Source organism: Homo sapiens, chromosome 2 (genome assembly GCF_000001405.40).
Source record: "Homo sapiens chromosome 2, GRCh38.p14 Primary Assembly".
NCBI lineage: Eukaryota > Metazoa > Chordata > Mammalia > Primates > Hominidae > Homo > Homo sapiens.
Window position 1 is genome coordinate 167857023 of NC_000002.12, and position 24277 is coordinate 167881299.

Here is a 24277-nt window from a genome sequence, read left to right on the forward strand (position 1 = left end):
TAAGAGATATTTTTAAGGGGAAAACATTTCCAAAGAGTTTTTATGGTTTTATAACAGAGCTACCACCAGTTTTCTGTTGACTGACAACCCTATGCTTTGTCCAGGAGACCAATTTACCTTAATGTTTCTTTGATTATGAGACCTTAACCCCAGAATATTTTAAGGCTCAAGAGTAAAAATACAGGTGATGGACAGTAATGGGAATTGATGCAGTGGGGAGGAGAGCATAGAGAAGTGATAAAGGAACAGGAGTTCCTTTGCTTTGAAAAGCAAAGGCCTTGGGAGAGATTAAGATTGTAATCCCTCTTCACAGAGTCTAAATGAGAAGAGTCCAGCATAGCCTGAAAGAGTTTCAAGAGCAATGTGAGTAGACTGTGGCAAAGAGTTCAAGGCACCAGTAGGATGAAAACTGGCAGGCTGAGTCTCTAGCCATAGAGGAAGTAAGAATCATGAACCAAAAGGAAATTGTAAAAGAGGAGAATGCCTAGAAATAGAAATCTCAAGCATAAAATGGTATCCAGTGAGAGTGAAGCTGAGCAAATGTTTGGTGAGTAGCTTGTGAATCCAAGCAATGCTGGAGATTGGCAGCGGGGAGGACTGTGGAGAGCCAGCATAAATGACTGAGCATGGGAACAAAACAAAACACAGCATTTTCATCTGATTGGCCAGTAAGTACTAATTTAGGAAAATTGTACACATAACCACAGATTTCAGAAACAAAAAGGCTTGGTTAAAAAGCTACTCTGCCAAATAAAACTATCTGTCATTGTCACCCAGGCATTCCTTTGGGTGCATTTCTAGAACAATTTATAAATCTGATTCTAGCGCTGAAAATTGCTAAGTCCCTCCATTAAGTGATTAAATGATGATTCTCTTGGCAAGATTACACTTCGGATTAAGTTTCATTACAACCTTGACAAGCCTATGAAGAAAAAAAATCACAAAATCACAAAGTTATATTTTATAGTGGCTTTGTCTTAAACCTCTGTAAAATAATCATGGTATAGCCATTTCAGGCTGTTTTCGTATACACAGAATGTTAATTATGGCTATGTAAATATTATTCGGAAGGCTATTTAAATCTGGTAGATTTTTAATATCCTAAAGTTATATTTGAGAAAAGCAAAATTCTATGTCACATTAGTGCTAGTAATGACAATAGTCATGACATTTCCTCTAACTTGTATATATCCTCCCCATTTTTTTTACAACAGTGCAAGACTTTTTAATATAGGCTCTGTCAAGTAAAATTGAAAGCTTCTTATGAAAACGGTCAACTGGAGGTGCCAAGTTTTTGTTTTTCTTTTGAACAAGAGCGAAGTAAAAAAAAAAAAAAAAAAAACTGCTTTTGCACCAATTAGTCAAGATGCATTGACTGATCGTTCCTTATGAAACATCTTATAGGCAATCCTCTCTGAATTTGTCTTTATTTGTCATGTTTACATTAATAATGATAATACTTTATGTTCATGTAGCACCATTTGACTTATATAGTATTTTCAAATACGTTATCTCATTTGATCTTTACAGTGATCCTTACTGGCAAAGTCTGGCCAGACATTATCATTCTCATTTTATAGATGAGGAAACAAAGGCATAGAGTTGCACAGGCTTCAGAGCTGATGACTCCAAGTCTAGAACTTGAATCTGGGTCTTCCAATGCCATAAGGCTGACTGCCTACAAAATAATTTCCACTGACAGCAGCTACATAAAATTATGTTTGGCTATTATGGATTCCAGTAAATCAATATTATATAAAGGAACAATTGAAAACAAAAGAAAAATCGCCAAGTCTGTTCCATGTATTATCAGTCGCTGCATAGTACCAATATCATTCTTTGAAATATGATCTAAAATAATACTACCTCTCTGTGGTGAGCTGAGAAATACCTCCCTAGACTTTGTAAATTTTAGATAGTGAATACACTAACAGCTTTCTGGTTTCTAAGAATATCCATTAATATCAGCCTCCCCCAAAATAATGGGCCGAATGAATACTCTTTTTGTTATCACATAGTTCATCATTTTTAAATTCTCCCAGCTGCTGTTTATATTAGTAGGATGTCTTTCCTCTCATCCTCTTTCACATTTCTAATAAAAAATACTGGCATTTCCTTTCCCAGTGGAGAAGCCCCACCCGAAGCCCAATCACATTGCCGGGCTTCTAGGCTCTAATGATTAAATAAGTGATTGCTCTGCCTAGCTTTAAAAATGTGTCTTATATAAGGCAGTCAAGACACAATATCCATCACTGTAAAGGAAGCCAAGCATTTATTTAAAATGATGAAATATCCTCATTTTCATTTTTCCCTGAGAGGATTGTAGTGATGTTAAAAAATTCTCTGAATTCTAGAACTAGGGCAACACATTGATTTGAAGAAAGCTATAATCTTCCCTTCTAATTTGAAGTATACTTTCTCCTCAGTGAAATAAAGTGTGGCTTTCAGAATAGCAAGAGCCCTAGGCCCACACACACAAAGACATCCTCATCCCAACCACTCCTCTTTCAGGTCGGCCCCATTCTTCCCAAGGCAGGGATTTATAAAGACCTTTTCAATAAATGTCAAGGTATATTAAACTAAAAAAGAGAAAGGTTCAAATCATTTCTTCCAGATTTGGGAGGGAAATGATTTCAACTGCCAAGTCATGATGAATATTACCTCTTGCTTTACACCACTGCCTCATTGCAAATGAGTAAGTTGGGTAAGTTCAATTATGGGGTCTCTTAGAAAAGATTCATAATTAAATTTTTAAAAGGAACAAATTAGCTCTTTATCTATCTAAGGCAGAGGAGTCAGAACACTTATTCCTATGAGCGTTCAGGGATTTCAACATCTATGGGTAGATTTCCTTAAATAGCCAAGGAGGCTGACTTAAAGGCTAGGAGAGCCAGCCCTCTGTGATTTGGAGAGATAATAAGTTAGCAAACTGGATAGCATAATGGTTTATGAAATTCTTCCTTCAAGGACCATTATCTAGTGCTAATAGTGTTTTATGTCTTCCTCTCCTGTGCTTATTTACAGCATAATTATAAGAGTGAGAAAAAGGGGAGGAGTTGGGTATCAAAATAACCATATGCCAAATTAATGCAGCCAACTAGAATCTCTGGCCCTTGGGGCTTGTTTATCAATTAGTTCTGTTGCAATTTGAGTTTCTGTTTTTCCCCACAGAATGAAGATACTTTTTGATTTCACTCATATGCCATCTCCAAGGAAAGTCATTTGAGATCAAAACATTTTTCAGAAAGGATCTCTTTTCCCCTTTTCAATATCATGATGTACTGCACAGCCAGCTCCTCACTCATTTCAAGACCATTTCATAGCACAAATAGTTAACCCTTTCTCTCTGTCTCTCTCGTGTGCTCTCTTTCTTTCCCTGTCTTGCCTCCCTTTTAGCTGGTTAATGTTGGGTTTATTTTTTTTCAACTGCTTTATCTTTCTTCACCATGTTTTTAAAGCTACTATGCAAATCTCTATGTTAAAGCCACTTGTGTGTGCCATATGTGATCTGTAAATATTTAACAGAAGTTATTCAGAGTCAATTAATAACAGAAGTTATTCAGAGTCAATTTTAACAGAAGTTATTCTGAGTACTAGTTTGAGATAGTATAAGATGTAGTAGTATTTTGCAGTGAGACAGGAGAATTGTTTGTATTCTCCAAAACCAAGCCAGTACATCAGGAACTGCTGGTTTGGGAAATGTGCCTCAATCCCAGCTTGAGTTTCTCAACTAATCTGAGTTTTTAAAGGGATCAGAGAAAACAAGTTGGCAGGAGCAAGGAATTGCCTTAAACTATGATATATTCTTCACCTGGTCTTAGGAAAAGAATCTCAACTGGCTTTTCTTTTTTTTTTTTTCATCTAAAAATAAAACAAATTTTGCATCCCTTTTCACACTCGTGCTTCATTCTTCTTTGAATGCTAATTACAAATTTTTCAACCTTTGAAAGTTGGTTTACCGAAACCCAAGAAATTACTTGCTCAAATCAGGAAAATTAAAATGTAAAGGAGTGAAGTCTTGCGGAGCAAAGTACAGACAGTTCTCCACTTTGATGAGCTGACTTAGGATTTTTTGACATTACCATGATGCCAAACCATCATGATTTCAAGTAATGTACAGCATTCAATAAATTATGTGAGTTGTTCAACACGTTATTAAGAAATAGGCTTTGTGTTAGATAATTTTGTCCAACCAGGCAGCACATTTAAGTTAGGCTTGGCTAATCTATGATGTTTGGTAGGTTAAGTGTATTAAATGAATTTTCAACTTAGGATATTTTCAATCTACAATGTGTTTATTGGGATGTAACCCAATCATAAATAGAGAAGCATTTGTGCTTTGTTACTGTAGCTATAGCAAACTAATACAGTGGATAACCTGTGGCTCTGGAGGCCGGAGGAATTTGCAGGAGTGGGCAGAATGGCCACAGCTGGGAAACACAAAGATAACAGAGCCAAAAAACAGTAGGGGTAGAAGTCAAAAACCACAAAGATGCTCTCCTAATATAGCATGAATCAAAAAAAGCCAAGCAAAGGAGACAAAAACTTAGTAAAAGATTCAAAGACTGAACCAGAGATAGCAAGTCATTCTGTTCTCAGCTCAGATGTCACCTCCTTAGAGAGTGACTAATTTAAGGTAGCCCTTCTCCCCCATCCCACCTTTGTTTAGTCTCTATCCGATTATCCCCCTTACCACTACCTGAAACTGTTTTTGCATTTGTTTATCTTCTGCCTCTGTCTCCTAGAAAGTAAGAGAGAGGAGACATTTGCATTCCCTTTGCATTTCCAAATCTACTTCATTTGTAGATTTGTTTTCAACATTTTTCAGATGTCTTACCAGCTCACTGCCTGGCACCTAGTAGTATTCAGTGCATCCTTCATGAACAAATGAAGTAGATTTAGAAATGCAAAGGAAATAAGAAACTGGAGACATTCCTTGAGACACCAGAGGATGGAAGCAAGCTGCTTGGTGAGGCTCCTGCAACCTTGCCCATGGTGAAGGGAAGCTCAAATGATTGCCAAGCCAATTCGGTGTAACTGGCAACCAAGACATAAGAAATCAGTGTTGACTTGTATTTGCCTATAGTTAGGATTCTCCAGAGAAACAGAACCAATAGGATATATTTAGATATAGAGAAAGAGATTTATTATGAGGCATTGTCTCATGAGATTATGAGGGCTGAGAAGTCCCATGATCTGCTCTCTGCAGGCTGAAGGCCCAAGAAGAAACCAGTGGAATAGTTTCAGTCCAAACCCAAAAACTTGAGAATCGGGGGAGCCAATGTTGTAAATCGCAGTCTGAGCCCAAAGGCTCGAGAACCAGAAGCACTGGTGTCTGAGCTCAGGAGGAGATGCATGTCACAGCTTAAGCAGAGAGAGCAAATTAGCCCTTCCTCTAAGTTTTCGTCCTATTTAGGCCTTCAGTGAATTAGGTGATGCTCATTTACATTGGTGAGGGCAGTCTTCCTTACTCAGCCTACCGATTCAAATGCTAATCTTTGCCAGAAACACCCTCACAGACACACCCAGAAGTAATGTTTCAGCAGCTATCTGGGCACCCCTTAGCCCAGTGAAGTTAACACATGAAATTAACCATCACACTGCCTGAACCATGAAGATGGACATGAAGCTGGCACCCCAAACAATGCACAGGTCACCAGAGACACACTACCCACCCGCTCCTAGGCCTTACCTCTGGCTGTACAAAAGAATTTCAGCAATTCTGTGGGTTTCTTGAAATAAATTATTCAGAATAACAGACAATCTACCATGCAGTTTCTAGGAGAAATACGTGCTTCTTAAATTGAAAATTCTGCCCCACTAACTTCCTGAAAGATGAAGGTGGATAGTTACTGAAGAGTTCTGTGAATGAGGTAATCTGAAATACAGTAAGGCCCCTGGGGAAAAAGTCTTTCGAGTGTTCCAGTTGAATGTGTCTATTTAGAGGGATTTGTATTTAATGGATGACAAGTTAATGTGTCATCAGTGTCTGTGGCTGTGGTGAAGCTGCTAGGAAAATGACAAGTGTTACACGTGCAACTTTCTATTTTACTGATACACTAACTGGTCTGTTAAAAAAGATTTTTTTTTAATCTTGTAAAACTGAAAGAACTTTCCAGAGGTTTCTGCTTTTGTGGTATTCTCTCTTTTTTTTTTCTTTTCAGTGGGCTTTTGGCTTTGAGTTTTCCAGGAAGGAGACAGATTTCTTAAGCAGAAAAACCTGTACTCACGAAGCTGGATGAACAAACCAAAACACTAACAGCAATACTATTTCTTTAGAAGAATGGATCAATATATGTCCTCAGGATCTAAAACCATAAACTGATGAACTGACATAATCCCCTCACTCACAATAGATCCTGCACTTTGTATCATAATACCATCTGCCTGGACAGAACCCTTTCCCCGGAAGCTCAGATGATTTGGCAATGGTTGTTAATACCTGTGATGTATTTGGAGATAAAACAGATTTATTTGTGCCCTCTCTTTATGTTTAAGGCTACTGAGACACAGAAAATCCACACCACAAGTCAGAATTACTCAAGGAGTAACCACAGACATACTGACCCATTACCAACTACTTTATCCAACTTACATGAAATGAATCTTTAGAGTTCCGTGCATCATGCTACTCTTTCTTGTCTTTAGTTACATTACTATTTCTGGCCCATGGGCATATTTTTGTACTGTTTTGCCACCTGAGAAATCTGTTTGGTTATAAGCAAAAAGGCTATTTTTTAATACCCCTTGCTATGAGTTCTTATTGTCCTTAGCCACTCTTTAGGTTTTCAGCAAGTTTCTTTTCAGACTTCAAATTCTCTGTTTTTTCAACAGAGGATTTACTAGATTCTAACTTGCATTCAGTATTGTCTAAGATGTAATACTGTGCCTACTTTTGTTCTCACGTCTGAAGACAACAGGAAAAAAGGTCAGTAGAAATAGTGATTCTGTGTGCATGCATGTATGTATGTGTGTGTGTGTGTGTGTGTGTGTGTGTGTGTGTGTATGTTTCAGGTCTTCATAGAAAAGAACCTGCAATGTGTTTCTAAACTTCTTTAACAGTTTCAGCTTCCCCACCCTGCTCTCAGCATCTTCAAGCTTTAATGTGCTCTTTGCAAATCATCCCTTTTTGCACTTTTTGATTATCAAGAATCCCTACAGAATTGATATAGCACAGTGTGTAGGAAACTAGAATGAACTAGAAAAAATCCAAGCAATGGAACCACATCTAAGAAAATAAATGCATGAGGACAGGAGTGGTGGCTCACACCTGTAATCCCAGCACTTTGGATGGCCAAGGCCAGAGGATCACTTGAGCCCAGCCAAGGTTGAGACCAGCCTGGCCAACACAGTGAGACCTTGTCTCTACTAAAAATAGAAATTTTTAAAAAATTAGCCAGGCATGGTGGCATGTGCCTGTAATCTCAGCTACTGGGGCAGCTGAGGCAGGAAAATCACTTGAGCCCAGGAGGTCAAGGCTACAGTGAGCTGTGATTGTGCCACTGCACTCCAGCCTAGGTGACAGAGTGAGACCCTGTATTAACTTGTTAATAAAAAATAAATGCATATATCACTGGGCGAATAGCAGCCTGAGATGCTCCCTGACACCCTGGGCTTTCCCATCCAAGATATTGCCTATGTCTCAACAGGCCTTAGGAAGCTTGGAAGTGGCTATTTATGTAGTCACTCACTAGCTGTGTGATCTTGAGCAAGCTACTGAATGTTTCTGAGTTTCCATTCTCTCATCTGTCAAATGGAGAAAATTGTACCTCTCTTATAACACTGTCAGGAATGAAACTCTAAAATATAAACAGAATAGAATGGCATGGAATGCACCACACAGCACAGTGCTTCCTACAGGCCTTTTAAAATGAGAGCTACAGTAATAATGATAAGAAGTATTATATTTATTACCTGTCCAGAAAAGAATGCTCATTCTTCTGTTAAAAAAAAAAAGGTGTTTATAAACTTTTTTCATGTTCTCCTCTGTTTCTGTTATATTTCTCCTTTTTTAGCTCCTTCTAAACCTCCCAGCTACCTATGTTTATGCAGTCCCTTCCCCCAGAAAATCACGCGGAAAAGTATCAGATAAAACAAACTCTCAGCTGGGCAAGGTGGCTCACAGCCTGTAATCCCAGCACTTCAGGAGGCCGAGGCAGGAAGATCACCTGAGGTCAGGAGTTGGAGACCAGCCTGGCCAACATGGTGAAACCCCATCTCTACTAAAAATACAAAAATTAGCCAGACATGGTGGTGCACGCCTGTAATCCCAGCTACTCAGGAAGCTGAGGCAGGAGAATCGCTTGAACCCAGGAGGTTTCAGTGAGCCAAGATCGCATTGTCGCACTCCAGCCTGGGTGACAGAGTGAGACTCCATCTCAAAAAACAAAACAAAACAAAAACAAATTCTCACTCTTCTAAGAAATAGAACTATGCAAGAGGAGAAATCCTTAATATGAATGAGTGAACTGCTATTGAAATAAATGGGGCCGGGCACAGTGGCTCACGCCTGTAATCCCAGCATTCTGGGAGGCCGAGGCGGGCAGATCACAAGATCAGGAGATCGAGACCCTCCTGGCTAACACCGTGAAACCCCGTCTCTACTAAAAAATACAAAAAATTAGCCAGGCGTGGTGGCGGGTGCCTGTAGTCCCAGCTACTTGGGAGGCTGAGGCAGGAGAATGGCGTGAACCCGGGAGGCGGAGTTTGCAGTGAGCCGAGATTGCACCACTGCACTCCAGCCTAGGCAACAGAGCGAGACTCCGTCTCAAAAACAATAAATAAATAAAAAATAAAATAAATAAATAAATAAATGGAACAGGATTTGGGGAAGATAAGATCCTCCTTCACACCCTTTAGATTTCACAGATGGGTAACTAGCTACTCAGCTCAGGACGGTGTCTGAGAACCACTCACCATCTGACCCCTGCTAATCTCTCAACCCACCCTCCCCCATCCTCCTCCCCATCATCCTATCCTCTTCTTTTACTCAACTAGTCCTGGTACACACCATCCTCTCTCTCATTTTATGCCCTTGCATATGCTGTTTCCTTTGCCCAGAATGCCTGACCCTCATCCAGATAACTTCTAGCCATCCTTAAAGATTCAACTTGGTTCCCCTTTAGTGAACTTGCCATAGCATCTTCCCCAGGACTCCCTCATTGTTTGACTCTGGCATGGGTGGAGGAGTGAGATTCACGTTACGGCTAGTGTGAATGGCACCCTCTGGAGTGGTACTGTGGACAGTCTGCAGGACTTAACCTTGTTCTCCCACATTCTGCCCAGCATTCTTCCCCTGTGTATTCCAGTAGCCTCCTAATGTAAATTTTTATTCCACCATTTTATCCATTTACTTGAAACCTTTCCTCCTAGTCTAGCAGTTTCTTAAGGGAGGAGTATGGATTCTGTTTCTGTTTGTCCAATACTTCACATACAACCGGCACTCAATAAACATTTGATTAATTGGTTGATTGATGGATGCATGGATTAACAAATGAATGAATAAATTCAAGAGTTGAATGAAGGCTTAACCATAGAGATAGAGGATAATAACTTGTGAAATGAACTCTGTAGACATGAGGAAGGAACAATAAAAAGGAGATCAAAATGTAAAGTGGAAAAATCCTCCATTAACAGCCTGATTACTGGCTCCCAAATATTACCTGACAGGAGCCTCTTCCAGGAGAGGCTTTTGGGGAGGCCCTTAACATCTTACTAATAGGTGGCTCACAATGGAGTAGGAAAGTATGCAAGAGGACAGAGCAATATAATGACAAAAGTAGACTAAGAATCAGATACATAGCCTAGGACAATGGCAGAGAAAGTTTGCTTTCTAGTACCATCTTGGGACTCACTTACAACCTTTTGTAATTGAAATGGAGTCCATGTCTGTATATCCCAAGTTGAGAAGCTCTTTTTTTTTGAGACGGAGTCTCACTTTGTCGCCCAGGCTGGAGTGCAGTGGCGCAATCTCAGCTCACTGCAAGCTCCACCTCCTGGATTCAGGCCATTCTCCTGCCTCAGCCTCCCGAGTAGCTGGGACTACAGGCACCCGCCACTACGCCTGGCTAATTTTTTGTATTTTTAGTAGAGACGGGGTTTCACCGTTTTAGCCAGGATGGTCTCGATCTCCTGACCTCGTGATCCGCCCCCCTTGGCCTCCCAAAGTGCTGGGATTACAGGCGTGAGCCACCGCGCCCGGCCGAGAAGCTCTTTTTTTCTATTCCTAGTTTCTCTCACTTCCTTTTGCTTACTGTTTAAAGTTTCAAAACTTGCTGCACATCACATCCTTCTTTTTATCAGCTTTGGTGCACCTTAGAACAGAAATTTCTCCCGGGAGGACAGGATACAGGAGCCTGTATTTAGAAAGTACTTATTATGGGTTGGATGAAGGCCTAACTATGCCTAGAGTCAAGCTGCTTGAAGCCATTCTAATATTCATTTAGTTAGAACGGTAACCACACTGAGTTATTGCTGGTCTCATATGGATCATATATTCACAGTCAGCTCTTGGCTTAGACAAGAAGATATATATTGTCTCTGCTGTTCACATCGTGTATTTTTATTTCATTATGACTATTGTGCTTAGAAGCATGATTTTCAATCTATATTCCCAATTAAATTATTTCTACACAGTCTGTACATGTAAGCACATGGTTTTCTTTGAAGCAGACTTTGTTAAAATTGATACCTATTCTCTACTATCTCTGCCTTCCAGGACTACCACATTCTGCCCTAACGAGACAGGAAGAAACAATTTTTTACATGAATGGACTTCATAACCAGGCATATAGGAACTGGCGCGAAGTTTTAAAAGTTCTAGAAAGCAGTAGAAGTTCTAGAAAGAATGAGAGTTCCAGAGGAAAATTAAATTTGAACACCAGCTGAAGTCTCCATCACATCTTCATTGGATCTGTGGCCCCCAAACTCAATTGTCCCTCTCATTATACTCATATTGGGTTTATAGGCAAATGTAACTAGGTAAAAAAAAATTAAAAGGGCCAGTATAATTTCATCAAGGGAACACATGGGTGAATGGTTGAAAACCATAAAAAGTGACACCGTTTAGATCAACTCCAAAATAAATGCTGCCAGCTGTCTGAAAGGTCACTTGGGTGATGGGTTCCATGCTTGAGAGGTCAGCATATCCTCTGCATGAAGTTTCATAGAAAATTAGAATTAGAGCTAAGAGTTGTGGAAGCCAAAGTAAGGAGAAAAGGAGGAACAGTTGGGAATTACTTCTAAGTCTGAACCAAGAGAGACACAGCATTAGCAGAGATTTTCCAGTGTGATAAACACATATTCAAATAGAGAGTTAGAGAAAGCAAGGAAATGTTGAGAATCAATTCCTTCACCAGAATCAAGCAAACAAAAACTCAGACTCGGAAACTGGAAAAGAGATATGAGGCCATGGGTGAGATTTCCTATCTTGAAAGAAGACTTTAGTGCCAGAAAGTATGTCACTGTTAAAAAAAAAAAAAAAAAATACGTCATGTGAAGAGGGGGAATTCTTATTTAAAAATGACTAATGTTCCGCTTACTTCACCTTCATCTAGAATTTATAATCTATGTATTTCTTAATTGGGTATTAATATACATACACAGCTTCTATCAAGGAGAGAGGAAAAGGGGAGATGGTTATGACAGGAAGTTTTTGGTACTGATGGAAATGAATGATCATGTGTATTTTAATCCTTGAGGGCAATTCTTATACCCTTGTTATGTTTATTTCAGTATGTAGAACGATGACATAAATCTAAGTGACAACTGTACTTTATTGATTTTGCAGAGTTAAGAGGAAGATTTATGAGTCATGGAACCCTCCATCAGATTTGGAAGAAAGTAGAATGAGCGCAGAGGTGACAGACAGCCACTGAGGCCCATGGACAATCTCCACCTCACGCTTCTCTATCAAACTTGAAGATTTATTAGTAATATGCTGCCTTTGGAAGATGAAAACAAACTAGTGCCAAGGAGGCGTATTCTTCAATATTTGGAATAGACGTGTTCTCAAGACAATGGCTTCAAAGGTCTCCTGTTTGTATGTTTTGACAGTTGTGTGCTGGGCCAGCGCTCTCTGGTACTTGAGTATAACTCGCCCTACTTCTTCTTACACTGGCTCCAAACCATTCAGCCACCTAACAGTTGCCAGGAAAAACTTCACCTTTGGCAACATAAGAACTCGACCTATCAACCCACATTCTTTTGAATTTCTTATCAACGAGCCCAATAAATGTGAGAAAAACATTCCTTTTCTTGTTATCCTCATCAGCACCACTCACAAGGAATTTGATGCCCGTCAGGCAATCAGAGAGACGTGGGGGGATGAGAACAACTTTAAGGGGATCAAGATAGCCACCCTGTTCCTCCTGGGCAAGAATGCTGATCCTGTTCTCAATCAGATGGTGGAGCAAGAGAGCCAAATCTTCCATGATATCATCGTGGAGGACTTTATTGACTCCTACCATAACCTTACCCTCAAAACATTAATGGGGATGAGATGGGTGGCCACTTTTTGTTCAAAAGCCAAGTATGTCATGAAAACAGACAGCGACATTTTTGTAAACATGGACAATCTTATTTATAAATTACTGAAACCCTCCACCAAGCCACGAAGAAGGTATTTTACTGGCTATGTCATTAATGGAGGACCGATTCGGGATGTCCGCAGTAAGTGGTATATGCCCAGGGATTTGTACCCAGACAGTAACTACCCACCTTTCTGTTCGGGGACTGGCTACATCTTTTCAGCCGATGTAGCTGAACTCATTTACAAGACCTCACTCCACACAAGGCTGCTTCACCTTGAAGACGTATATGTGGGACTGTGTCTTCGAAAGCTGGGCATACATCCTTTCCAGAACAGTGGCTTCAATCACTGGAAAATGGCCTACAGTTTGTGTAGGTATCGCCGAGTTATCACTGTGCATCAGATCTCTCCAGAAGAAATGCACAGAATCTGGAATGACATGTCAAGCAAGAAACATCTCAGATGTTAGGATTTTTACCAATGTAAATATGTTTCTTTTCTTTTTTTAAGAAATGGGACCTAAGGTGTTGGTATTTTCCAGGTGTCGGGGGAAATGAACTGGTGAAGGGGTTTTGTAAAGTTTTTGCTTCCTGCTATAAGTTCTTTTCTTGGATTACCAATTTATGAATGTTAGACTCTGGTCATAGAAACAATAAATGAGTTAGAAGGGCCAGATTTCATTCTCAGTCCCAGAGCATTGCTATTTATCTCAAAAAGTGACTTCCAAACAACTCTTAGGATTGACGTACCGTGCATCTGAGATAAAAATTTGGTTCTGGGAAACTGAAACTCACAGTAATGTGTCATATCATCCCTGCAAAAATTAATACACAAATAGAAACCATTTTCAAAAGCAATTCAGAAAGGATGCACAGTCAGGAAGACACACTGGATGTGATTATTAATATCGTGTGTGTTGTTACATTATATTTTTACATATATTCCCATGTAATGTGTACAGTCTTTGCAGTTCCACCAAGAAATGAACTTGGTACCTGCAGAGTGGCTGCAGTTAAATAGATGGGAGTTTAAATTTGAGAATCAAACATTCTATGTGTTTGGAAGACAACTCTGCTTGCTCATCCAAGGATTAAATCTGGTCAGCAGGTGGAATGTGTATAAAATGCTACTTAACAAAGTAAACAAAAGATTTTTTTTTTCTTTTTTTTTCTTTCTTTTTTGTTTTGCTCTTTCAGAACAAACATTAAATGGTGCCTCCAAGGAAACTTTGCCAAATATAATCTCACCTGCTTCCTTCCAGACAGTGTCGCTAAGTGCATTTCACAGTTTTTGGATCTGGCAGGCATATGTCTCTATGTAGAAAATAAGTTGGTTGGAGGCCAGAGAACAATAAATCACATTGAGAAAATACAAATTTAAGTATGCATTATAATTAACATAAGCTTAGCAATAGTATAAGATGCCCCCACACACAGACATTTGCAAAGCACATGAGAAAATCTTTAAGGGTGTCAATATTATTGAAAGACTTGGCCCTACTTGCTAACATCTGAAAACACCAGAGCATGTTCAGCAGCAATGCTGTTATGAGGTATTCTGGGGGCTCTGTGATTGAGGAAGGATGGGGAAGGCCAGGTTCGGGTCCCGTTGATGCCACCATACTTATTGGGCCATATGAGTAGGCATCGTAATCTTGTGCTTCAATGTGTTCATTTATAAAAATGGCTGTAAAAAACACCTACCTCACAGGTGCTGTGAGAGCAAATTGCATTTGCTAAGTATTTTGAGATCCTTAGCTTAAAAGGTGCTACGTAATGCAATGTATCATGTATTATGCTAAATGCTAAAATAATTGCATAATTACAATGATGGTCATCAGTAGCAGTAATATCATCTTAATATAAAATCTGCTGAAATAAAGATCAGCTGTGAACTATCACTGCACCTAATTCTACCAAGGCTTGACTTTTCCTTGGCTGTAATTTAGGTGTTTGGGAAGGCTTCCATTTCTCTGAGATTTCTTCTGGTTTCAATGAATAAGTGACTAGGTCAGTGTGTTGCCTTGATATCCCAAGGTGCTGAAAGTAGAGGCAGCTGCCTTTCTTTGGGAAGGAACCTCTGGTTGGGGTATATTACAGTAAATGAAGCATATACTTTGCAAAATGCATCACGACAACTTAGATCTCAGGAACCACTGAATCTGAATTCTCTCTAAGAAATTTGAGCGCAGGTAAAGCTAGTTCACCTCTTTCAGAAGCAGCAGAATAGGCAGTCAGCAAACCTGCACATTGCACATCTTCTACCATTTATTAGAAAACACCTGTTTGTTCTCAAAGAAAGCCCCACAGCTGAAAGAGTGTACCTTTTTTATTTATTTACTTTTTTTTTTTTTTTTTTTTTTTTTTTTGAGACGGAGTCTAGCTCTGTGGCCCAGGCGGGAGTGCAGTGGCACAATCTCGGCTCACTGCAAGCTCCGCCTCCCGGGTTCACGCCATTCTCCTGCCTCAGCCTCCCGAGTAGCTGGGACTACAGGCGCCCGCCATCACGCCCGGCTAATTTTTTTGTATTTTTAGTAGAGACGGGGTTTCACCGTGTTAGCCAGGATGGTCTCGATCTCCTGACCTCGTGATCCGCCCGCCTCGGCCTCCCAAAGTGCTGGGATTACAAGCGTGAGCCACCGCGCCCGGCCCTATTTACTTATTTTTTAACCTGACCCCTGGAGCCCCCCGTAGGAGTTGATAGCAAACAGATAGACACAATGAATAAGTGGAAGTCATGGCTTGTTTCTGCAAAACACGATCTCTCATCCCCCACCCGAAAGGACCTGATATGAGACAAGACTTCCCATCCCTTAACACATCTTCATCTTATGGTCAGCAGGACTGCTGGTTTTGATTAGACAATAGCAATTAGGTAACCTGGGGAGAGATGGATCAGCACAAGGTGAACCACCCTCCAACCTGCAGCCTCAACTGCTGTGAGTTCCAATCACTGGGAAAGTCTCACGACTTCTTACTTGGTTTACCTTCGAGTTGTGCAGCTGAATCAAGCCTCTGTCTCATACTATTGCCTTGCATCTACCCCATGCTCAGTCAAACCACCTCTGGTGTCAAGAAATTACACATTATAAACATCATATATGTACACCTATGAATCGTTTTATATGTGTGTGCATACATTATGATACAGCCCTGATCTTTAAAAGGAGCAAAAATCAGAGAATCGTATGTCTTAAAGAACTATTTCCTTACTTTTTTATGCTAGGTAATGCCCATGTGACAAACATGTAAATATTCATCAAAGACCACATGTATATATTTTAAAGGCATTTTTTCTTCTCCCCAACTGTATGTATAGCTAGAATCTGCTTGCTGTGTAACCTTTTCTTCTGCATGGAGCTTTTGGTGAAGCAAGGCCATTTGTCCAGTGTTTCATAGCCTTAAGCATGTTTGCCCTTCGTTTTTTGAATGTTCAAAAAATGTTTAAGTGATCAAGAAAAAGCTCTAACTTTCGACTTTTGTTAATTTTATGACATGACACTGGCCAAAATATTGTTTCAATTACTGTTGAGCCATTCTTATCATTTCCCTGACATAAAATATGCAATGTTTTAGACAGTATTCTACCAAGAGTCTCTCAGACAATTTTTACAAAAACTCTTTTTTTCCATTATGCACTGGATAATAACAGTATCAGTGTCTATGTTCTTAAAGTTCCTTTTTTTAATTTACTTTTTGGAAAAACGTTTCTCTTTGGTGGCTAGTTTCGGTGGCTTGGTGTCTTCTTATATTGGAACAAGTGTCCATTTCAATATGTAATATTGTATTTTTAAATAACCAGAATCAACAAAGCGAAGATCACTTTTAATTTGGATTCAATTCAGAAGAATAAAACCCCTTTGCGTGACACGATATGGGGAAAATAAACTATTTACAGAGGAGCCAAGGAAGAAGTTTTTCGATCAAATCTCTTCTATCAAAAGACAATGGAATATTTACCTAAAGCATCTGGGATTCATTTTTTACCTTTCCTAATATGTGGGTTTAGTGGGAGAATTGATTATGTCATTTCTTCTGTAAAGGTGAAAATCGTTTTTATAAACAACAAAGTAACTTGTGAATGAAAGAAGTAATTTACTAGAACAACGCTTGTTGATGATAATTGACATTTAGGTATAACGTCATATATGAATGATTGTATTTATGTATTTATTTGTCAAAATTGTACATACTGTTTCGCCAAAAGTAATTGTCTGTAAAAGTGCACTCTCCAGGTTTGTAGTACTATTTAGGGTTACATGGGTTGCCAATCAAGCTGCTAATCAGAATACTATTTTTTTGTATCAATGTTATAAAACTAAAAATGACAGACACTGAAGATATCATTACACTTTCTTCACCTTCCTCTTGAAATGTAAACTGTTGACTGAAAGCGCAATGCTTATGTACAGGCCCATCTGTCATGAGGAAGATTATGGTTCCATAAAGCTGATTTTTTTAAACCATTGGGACAAATAAACAGAAGGAGAACAAATGTGTCACTTCTCTTCTTTTAGAAGGAATCTCTTTGGTGAGACGTGGTTGTTAAAAGCTGATGCCCTGCCGTTTACCATTAACCTTTTCCACAATCTCAATGTAGGTAATAGTTCATGCCATTCAGAGCTCATCCCCAAGAGCCCAGTGCGACAGTCAACACGGAGACTATTCCATCTAGTAAGTAGACCAGTGGCTACTCTGGGATTTAGGAAACAGGGATTCACTTGCCCCTTGGCAGCCTCAAGGAATCATTTTAACCAGCCTCTGTATTAAAGTCTATGGGTTAAACATGCCAACAAACTCCAACTCAGGGGGGCATTCTATTAATAATGTGTTTGGCAAATTAGGACATGTTAAATCTAAGGCAAAAATGTCATTCTCCTGTTTCATCTGCATGTATCCTTTGGAATACTGCATGTTACTTTAGAAGTTTAATTGGATCAGAAAAGATTTATTCAGACATCCTTCACAGCAGCCAAGTAGATGTTGATTGCTGATCCCTGATTGTGTAAGCAAGAGACTGAGAGCTATTTAAGAGACAAAAGTTCATTTTATTATCAATCCTGATCTAGCTAAACAGATACTCACTTTTTTCTTTGTTTTCTTCAACTTATTTTAAGTTCAGGGGTACATGTGCAGGATGTGCAGGTTTATTATAAAGGAAATCGTGTGCCATGGTAGTGTGCTGCACAGATCATCCCATCACCTAGGTATTAAGCCCAGCCTCCATTAGCTATTCTTCCTGATGCACCCTCCCCTGAACCCCTCCAGACAGGCTGCAGTATGTCGTTCCCCGCCATGTGCCCATGTGTTCTCCTCATTCAGCTCCCACTTATGAGAACACGTGGTGTTTGGTTTTCTGTTCCTGTGTTAGTTTGCTGAGGATAATGGCTGCCAACTTCATTTATGTCCCGGCAAAGGACATGATCTCATTCCTTTTTATGGCTGCATAGTATTCCAGATATTCACTTCTTAATAGAAATTTAACTTTTGATTTACTCCCCATATACCTTGGAGTTCAAAAAGGTAAAGTTTATCAGGTGAGTGGAACTATGTGAATAAACAACAAAATCATAAAATATACAGATTTGTATTCCACATAACTTTTTCAAAGGACCAACATCAAGAGCAGTGATCTAAAAATATAGTCTCCAGGTTGGGCACGATGGCTCATGCCTGTAATCCCACCACTATGGGAGACCGAGGTGGTGGGTCACCTGAGGGCTAGGCGTTCAAAACCAGCCTGGCCAACTTGGTGAAACCCCGTCTCTACTAAATGTACAAAACTTAGCCGGGCAGGGTGGTACACTCCTGTAATCCCAGCTACTTGGGAGGCTGAGGCAGGAAAATCGCTTGAACCGGGAGAGGGGGGTTGCAGTGAGCCAAGATTGCACCACCGCACTCCAGCCTGGGTGACAGACCACAACTCTGTCTCAAAAATAAATAAATAAATAAACAAATAAATAAATAAAAGTATAGTCTCCAGACCAAGAGCACTAGACTCATCAGGGAACTTGCTAGAAAGGCAAATTCTCAAGTCCCTCCAGAAACTTCACCGTGTGGCTCAGCAGTCCATTTTAATGAGCCCTCTAGGTAACTCCAATGCCCGCTGGAGCTGAGAACACTGACCCAGAGCAGAGATTGGCAAACTACAGTCTGTGAACTCCATCTGGCCTGCTGTCCATAAGCTAGGAGTGGTTCCCATGAACAGCTGCAATGACTTAATGACAGCAGATGCTAACATGGAACTCCAACTAAGCAGGACGTTAGTCCAACACGAAGAATGCCATTCCTCTCATTAGTAGATGTGTATGAGCAATAAACAAAATTGTACTCAGTTATTATTTTATTTTGAATTCCATCAATACAAAAACAGGAAATTTATTTTTTCTTTTGTTATGTAATGTACTATTTTATATATATATATATATATATACACGTATATATATATATACGTATATATATATATACGTATATATATATATACGTATATATATATATATACGTATATATATATATGTATATATATATATACGTATATATATATATGTATATATATATATATACATATATATATATATATTTATTTTTTTTTTTTTTTTTTTTTTTTGAGATGGAGTCTCGCTGTGTTACCCAGGCTGGAGTGCAGTGGCGCGATCTCGGCTCACTGCAAGCTCCGCCTCCCGGGTTCACGCCATTCTCCTGCCTCAGCCTCCCGAGTAGCTGGGACTACACGCCCCGCCACCACGCCCGGCTAATTTTTTGTATTTTTAGTACAGACGGGGTTTCACTGTGTTAGCCAGGATGGTCTTGATCTCCTGACCTCGTGATCCACCCGCCTCGGCCTCCCAAAGTGCTGGGATTACAGGCGTGAGCCGCTGCGCCCGGCCAGTACTATCATATATTTTCAAGTTTGCTTCTTGACCTGAAAAGCTTAAAATATTTATTGCACTTTATAGGAAAAGTTTGTCAACCTCTGACCTAGAGAAACAGGAAAACATCTGAAAAAGGTGCTATACACAAAACGTTTCCAGTTACGGATGAAAATCACATCAGCATTGGAACTGTCTTCCCATGCAGCCAGGAAAATGACGATGTAGTCATGATAATGAATTGCATTAAAAACCAACAGCTGCATATATTTTTGAAATATTTCCTTGTTTTCTCTGAGTAATTTTTTAAAATTATAAAAGCTTGATTCTAATTGTCACAATTACCCACATCTTAATTAATATATTGCTTAAAGATGTGTGCATATTAGACCTAAAAGGGTGGGTTTCATATAGCTTGATTATCATAATTGCAAGTATTCTATTTTCTCATTTACTTAATTGATTGTCATAGATTTCCAGATGAATTCACACTGCTGGGAGAAAACTGAATACATTTTTAAGAGAAAAAACAAAAATGAACAAAAACAGAAATGGGGATATTTAAAAGAGCAATGTGCCCCACAATATAATCCATGGGAGCATGAAAAATCGCCCTCGATAAGATCTCCTTACCTCCTTGCTGGTTAAAATGGGCATTTTTGTGAAATGAAAGAGAAATGAACGAAAAAGTGTTATTGATTCAACCACATCGATAATAACGCTGGCTCCACACTCTCTTCAGCCAGAGGTGCCTAGTGCTCAAGAAAATTTTTCCATTTAGTTTACCTTCTAGAATCTATCAGTTTAGTACATTATGTCAAGTATTTGTTAGGCCTGTTGCAATGACCTCAGGCCTCACCTGGAGGGAAAATGGCACAAGAGGTAATTTATTCTCTCTCTAGGTTTATTCTAGAGTGTTTACTCAGCAGTGGCTGCCTGATACAGCAGGCTGGGCCGAGTTACATGTGGGGGTTTGTAATGAAGACTATTTTTCAGCAGAAGTGAAGATGACCTCACCAAGCATAAGGTGAGGGGGAAGAGAGCATCAGAGAATTTCTCCCATTGCAAAACCTTAAATTTTCAGTGCCCATTCTTCTGTTTTGTCATTGTTGTTGCTGAATCCTAACAATAGCCTCATGAGGTAGATGCTGCTCTTATCTCCAATTGGCAGATTAGGGAATTGAGGCAACAGAGGCTTCTGTAACTTACAGGGTGAATTCAGGCCCTCTGGCTCTAGAGGCCATGTTCATCACCAACATAGCATTTTGCTTCTCAAAAATAAGGACACATACCACGCCCCACCTCCACACTGCCCCAGGCCCCAGTTCCTGCAGAATTCAGTGTAGCTATTTTAATGTTATTCAGTTTGGAACTTTTGCCCTGTTTTTACTGAGTTATAATTTATATACTTTAAAATTCTCTTTTTAAATGTGCAGTTCTATGAGTTTTGACAAATGTGTACATTCAGGTAACAACCACCATAATAAGAAATACAACAGTTCTAGTACTTTCCCAAATTTTCTCATGACCCATTGTAATCAGCCCCCTCCCCCAGCCTCTGGCAATCACTGGTCTCTTTCCAAATTTTTATTTTACTTGAGATTTACATGTTATTTAATCATCATCTATAAGGTTTAATGTATAGAAAAAGTTGCTTCAAATAACCCATCATGACACCTTAGCATCCAACAAGGCAAAAAAATCGAAAAGAATAAAACAAGAAAACAGAAATCTTAAGAAAATAGTTAAGCAACACATAAATACAGATAAAAGATTCAGGAATTTAAAAATAAACCCCCATTCATTCAATAATATCCAAGTCTAATAAATATTAATAAGAAAGATGCCAGTCAAAAATCTACCACCTCACTCGAAATTTAGACCAGCGCACTAGGAACTTTAACAGAGTTTCTCTGCTTCAGAGCTCACATTTCTATAGAGAGAACGATCTATAAGTTCAATTATGCCTTCTTCCTTCTTGGAAGCAAAGGATCCTCTGGAGAGGTGTCCATCACTAACTAGCTCCTTAAAAAGGCAGGCCCTGTTTACACTCAAGGCTGTGGCTCCACACCTGTCATAAACCACACTCTGATGAGCTCTCCCTCTGTATCTGTTTGTGCTTTCTGACTTACTGTTGGTTTCTTCGACATATGCTAGTCCAAATTTTCTTTAGAAAAAGACAATTTCACCACTACAAGCTTCTCTTCAAACTTTATCAATAGAATCATCTGAGTTAACTTGGAAAGCATGTCATTTACAACAAAATGCCTCTCCGTCCTAGCAGGAGTTGGAGCCATAGGCAGCATAAATATGGAAGCAAAATAGTATACTGGAGCAGGAAGGACAGGATGAGGGACACACAGACGCTATAGCAATGCTTCTCAGACTGGCACATGCCAAGTAATTACCTGAGAATCTTGGTAAAATGCAGAATTGTAGTTCTGGAGTCTAACCCACAGTTCTTTCTTGTGAGCTTCCAGGCAATGCTGATGCCACTGGTGCATAGACTGTGTTTTGAGTAACAGGGCTCTGGAATTCAAGGCTAGATTCTAGACAGGGTTACTAGTTTTTTGGTTTGTTTGGTTTTGGTTTTGTTTTGAGAGAGGGTCTCCGACACCCAGGCTGGAGTGCAGTGACATGATCTTGACCTCCCAGGCTCAGGTGATTCTCCCACCTCAGCCTTCTGAGTAGCTGGGACTGCAGGCTAGAGCCACCACGCCCAGCTAATTATTTTGTATTTTTTTTTAGAGAGAGAAGGGGTTTCACCATGATGCCCAGGCTGGTCTCTAATCCTCGGCTCAAGTGATCCACCCTCCTAGACCTCCCAAAGTGCTGGGATTATAGGCGTGAGCCACCGCACCCAGCCTAGGGTTACTAGTATTCAATAAGCATCTATACCAGAGATGCTTACCATACCAGAGACTTTTACCTATATTACCTCTTTAAATATTCATAAAAACTTGTTGGAAGGGATTATGGATTAAAGTGAGGTTTGAGTCTGTAGTACAATTTTAGGTTAGAAACTCACTATTTTTATTTCTTGTATGTAGCTTTCTCTAAGACCTTATGGGAGAAGGGTGAGGTCCTGGAGGAAGCAATACATCAAAGTAACAAAAACAATGGGAAGCAAAATACCACACTATTATTTTGCTGATTCAGTACCCAGTAACCCAATATAGGATTCTATGTTAAAACCAAGTTGGAGCTTATGATGTAGCCCCAGGTCAAAGTCGGACCTGATGGCTTTATCTTCCCACCAACCACCATTTATAGTATGTGGGCATACTATATAGCACAGAAAGGAGACAGAGAGAAGTATGTAGAGCCAGGCTACGGTGCTTCTGGTACAAGACAATGGAGACAACAGGAACAGAAGGAAAGCAGCAGAGAGCCACGCAAGTATGTCATCTGCAAGAAACAGCAACCCCACATATGCATAAATGATGCCAAATTATTGTCATAGGATATGACCATTCAGATTTATAGCCAGGCGCGGTGGCTCACATCTATAATCCCAGCACTTTTGGAGGCCAAGGCAGGTGGATCACTTGAGGTCAAGAGTTCGAGACCAGCCTGGACAACGTAGTGAAACCACGTCTCTACTAAAAATACAAAATTAGCCACGTGTGGTGGTGCACACTTGTGATCCTAGCTACTCATGAGTCTGAGGAAGGAGAATCACTTGAAACCAGGAGGCAGAGGTTTCAGTGAGCCAAGATTCTGCCACTGCACTCCAGCCTGGGTGACAGAGCAAGACTCCATCTCAAAAAAAAAAAAAAGTTTATAATCTTACCTTTTCAGAGGAACATCATTAGGATGAGAGAAAGGAAGTTTTTTTGTTTTGTTTTTTGTTTTTGTTTTTTTGGCATTAATGAGAAACTAAGTAGTCCCTCCCAAACAAGGAATCCAGCATTTATTATTGTCACCATTTTGGGGTTGAAAAATCCAGAAGTCAGAGAAATCAAGAGACTTTTTCAATGTAAAAAATCAATAACTGGAAAGATACTATTCAAACCCCAGGTATTTTGACTGGAGTCCAGTCTTTTTATTTTCCATTGTGTCATATTGCTCTAAATTTTATTTGCAATTCAGAAACAAGTAGGGGCAAACCCTCCCTGGTTTTAAAGGTTAGAATCAGCAATACATCCAAGGTCAAATGAGCAGTCAGTGCTTGAAGTAACAGACAAATCTGAAAAGTCAGCAGAAAAAAAATAAGTAATCCCGAGTCCAGATATGCAGCTCAAAGAATGTGCAAATAGCTAAGACAACAGGGTCAAAACCTAGGCAAGAGTCAGATAAATAGGTTCAGAACAGGCATCAGGTTTACCTAATATCAAATGGCACAACACAGTGAACCTGATTTTTCAGGCAGAGCTCTCATCCAGGAAAACTTTCAATTACCATGAATTGGGTTGACTACAGGATCCGCAAAGGGAGGGCTGTACCTCTGCTTTGGAATCTAGACATAACCTAGATCAGATGTCGCCACAAATAAAATAAGTGTTCAACAAGAACACAAAACACACTTTACAACAGCTTTGCATGCAGTTTATTTCCAAGACAAAACGAACAAAGAGAAAATGACTCCAAAGTAACAAAGGAGAAGAATCAGCAGTAGAGACAATGAGAATTTAAGGAGACAATGAGCAAGAAGCAGGAAGACCAGGGAAGTAAGAGAGCAGAAGTAACTAATTTAGGGGGAGATGGAAGATGGGGAAAGAGCCACACCTGTTTTCAGATTATGTTGACCAATGTTTCTCTGCTTTTGCCATTGTAAAAATTATCTATCATAAATTTCAATCCACTTTCCATCAAATTATCTTTCAGTTACAGTACAAAAAAAGGTAGGGGGAGGTGTTTCCCAGAGGCAGACACCAACC

The 24277-nt window shown here is 39.6% G+C and overlaps 1 protein-coding gene and 1 long non-coding RNA gene across 6 annotated transcripts in view, besides 1 other annotated feature; one reads left to right on the forward strand and one right to left on the reverse strand.

Moving 5' to 3' along the window:
• B3GALT1 (beta-1,3-galactosyltransferase 1) overlaps positions 1–17023 on the forward strand; it is a 581045-nt gene extending 564022 nt beyond the window's left edge. For all 5 annotated transcript variants that reach the window (XM_011512085.3, NM_020981.4, XM_047446159.1 and 2 more), the window contains one exon: positions 11789–17023. In XM_011512085.3, the coding sequence (XP_011510387.1) occupies positions 12018–12998 (981 nt within the window). In that variant the 5' untranslated portion in view covers positions 11789–12017 and the 3' untranslated portion in view covers positions 12999–17023. The remainder of the gene's footprint in view (positions 1–11788) is intronic.
• The window catches only part of B3GALT1-AS1 (B3GALT1 antisense RNA 1), a 126371-nt gene that overhangs the window by 42249 nt on the left and 59845 nt on the right, over positions 1–24277 (reverse strand). The window contains exons 3-4 of the long non-coding RNA NR_131227.1: positions 12718–12958; positions 5693–5828 (exon numbers count right to left, since the gene is read on the reverse strand). This is a non-coding gene — a long non-coding RNA (B3GALT1 antisense RNA 1). The remainder of the gene's footprint in view (positions 1–5692; positions 5829–12717; positions 12959–24277) is intronic.
• Positions 4526–5054: an enhancer, noted in NCBI's record as "NANOG hESC enhancer chr2:168718058-168718586 (GRCh37/hg19 assembly coordinates)". NCBI's record gives its function as "activates a minimal SCP1, AML or CMV promoter by ChIP-STARR-seq in naive H9 embryonic stem cells {active_cell/tissue: H9 hESC(naive)}" and the evidence as "EXISTENCE:reporter gene assay evidence [ECO:0000049][PMID:30033119]".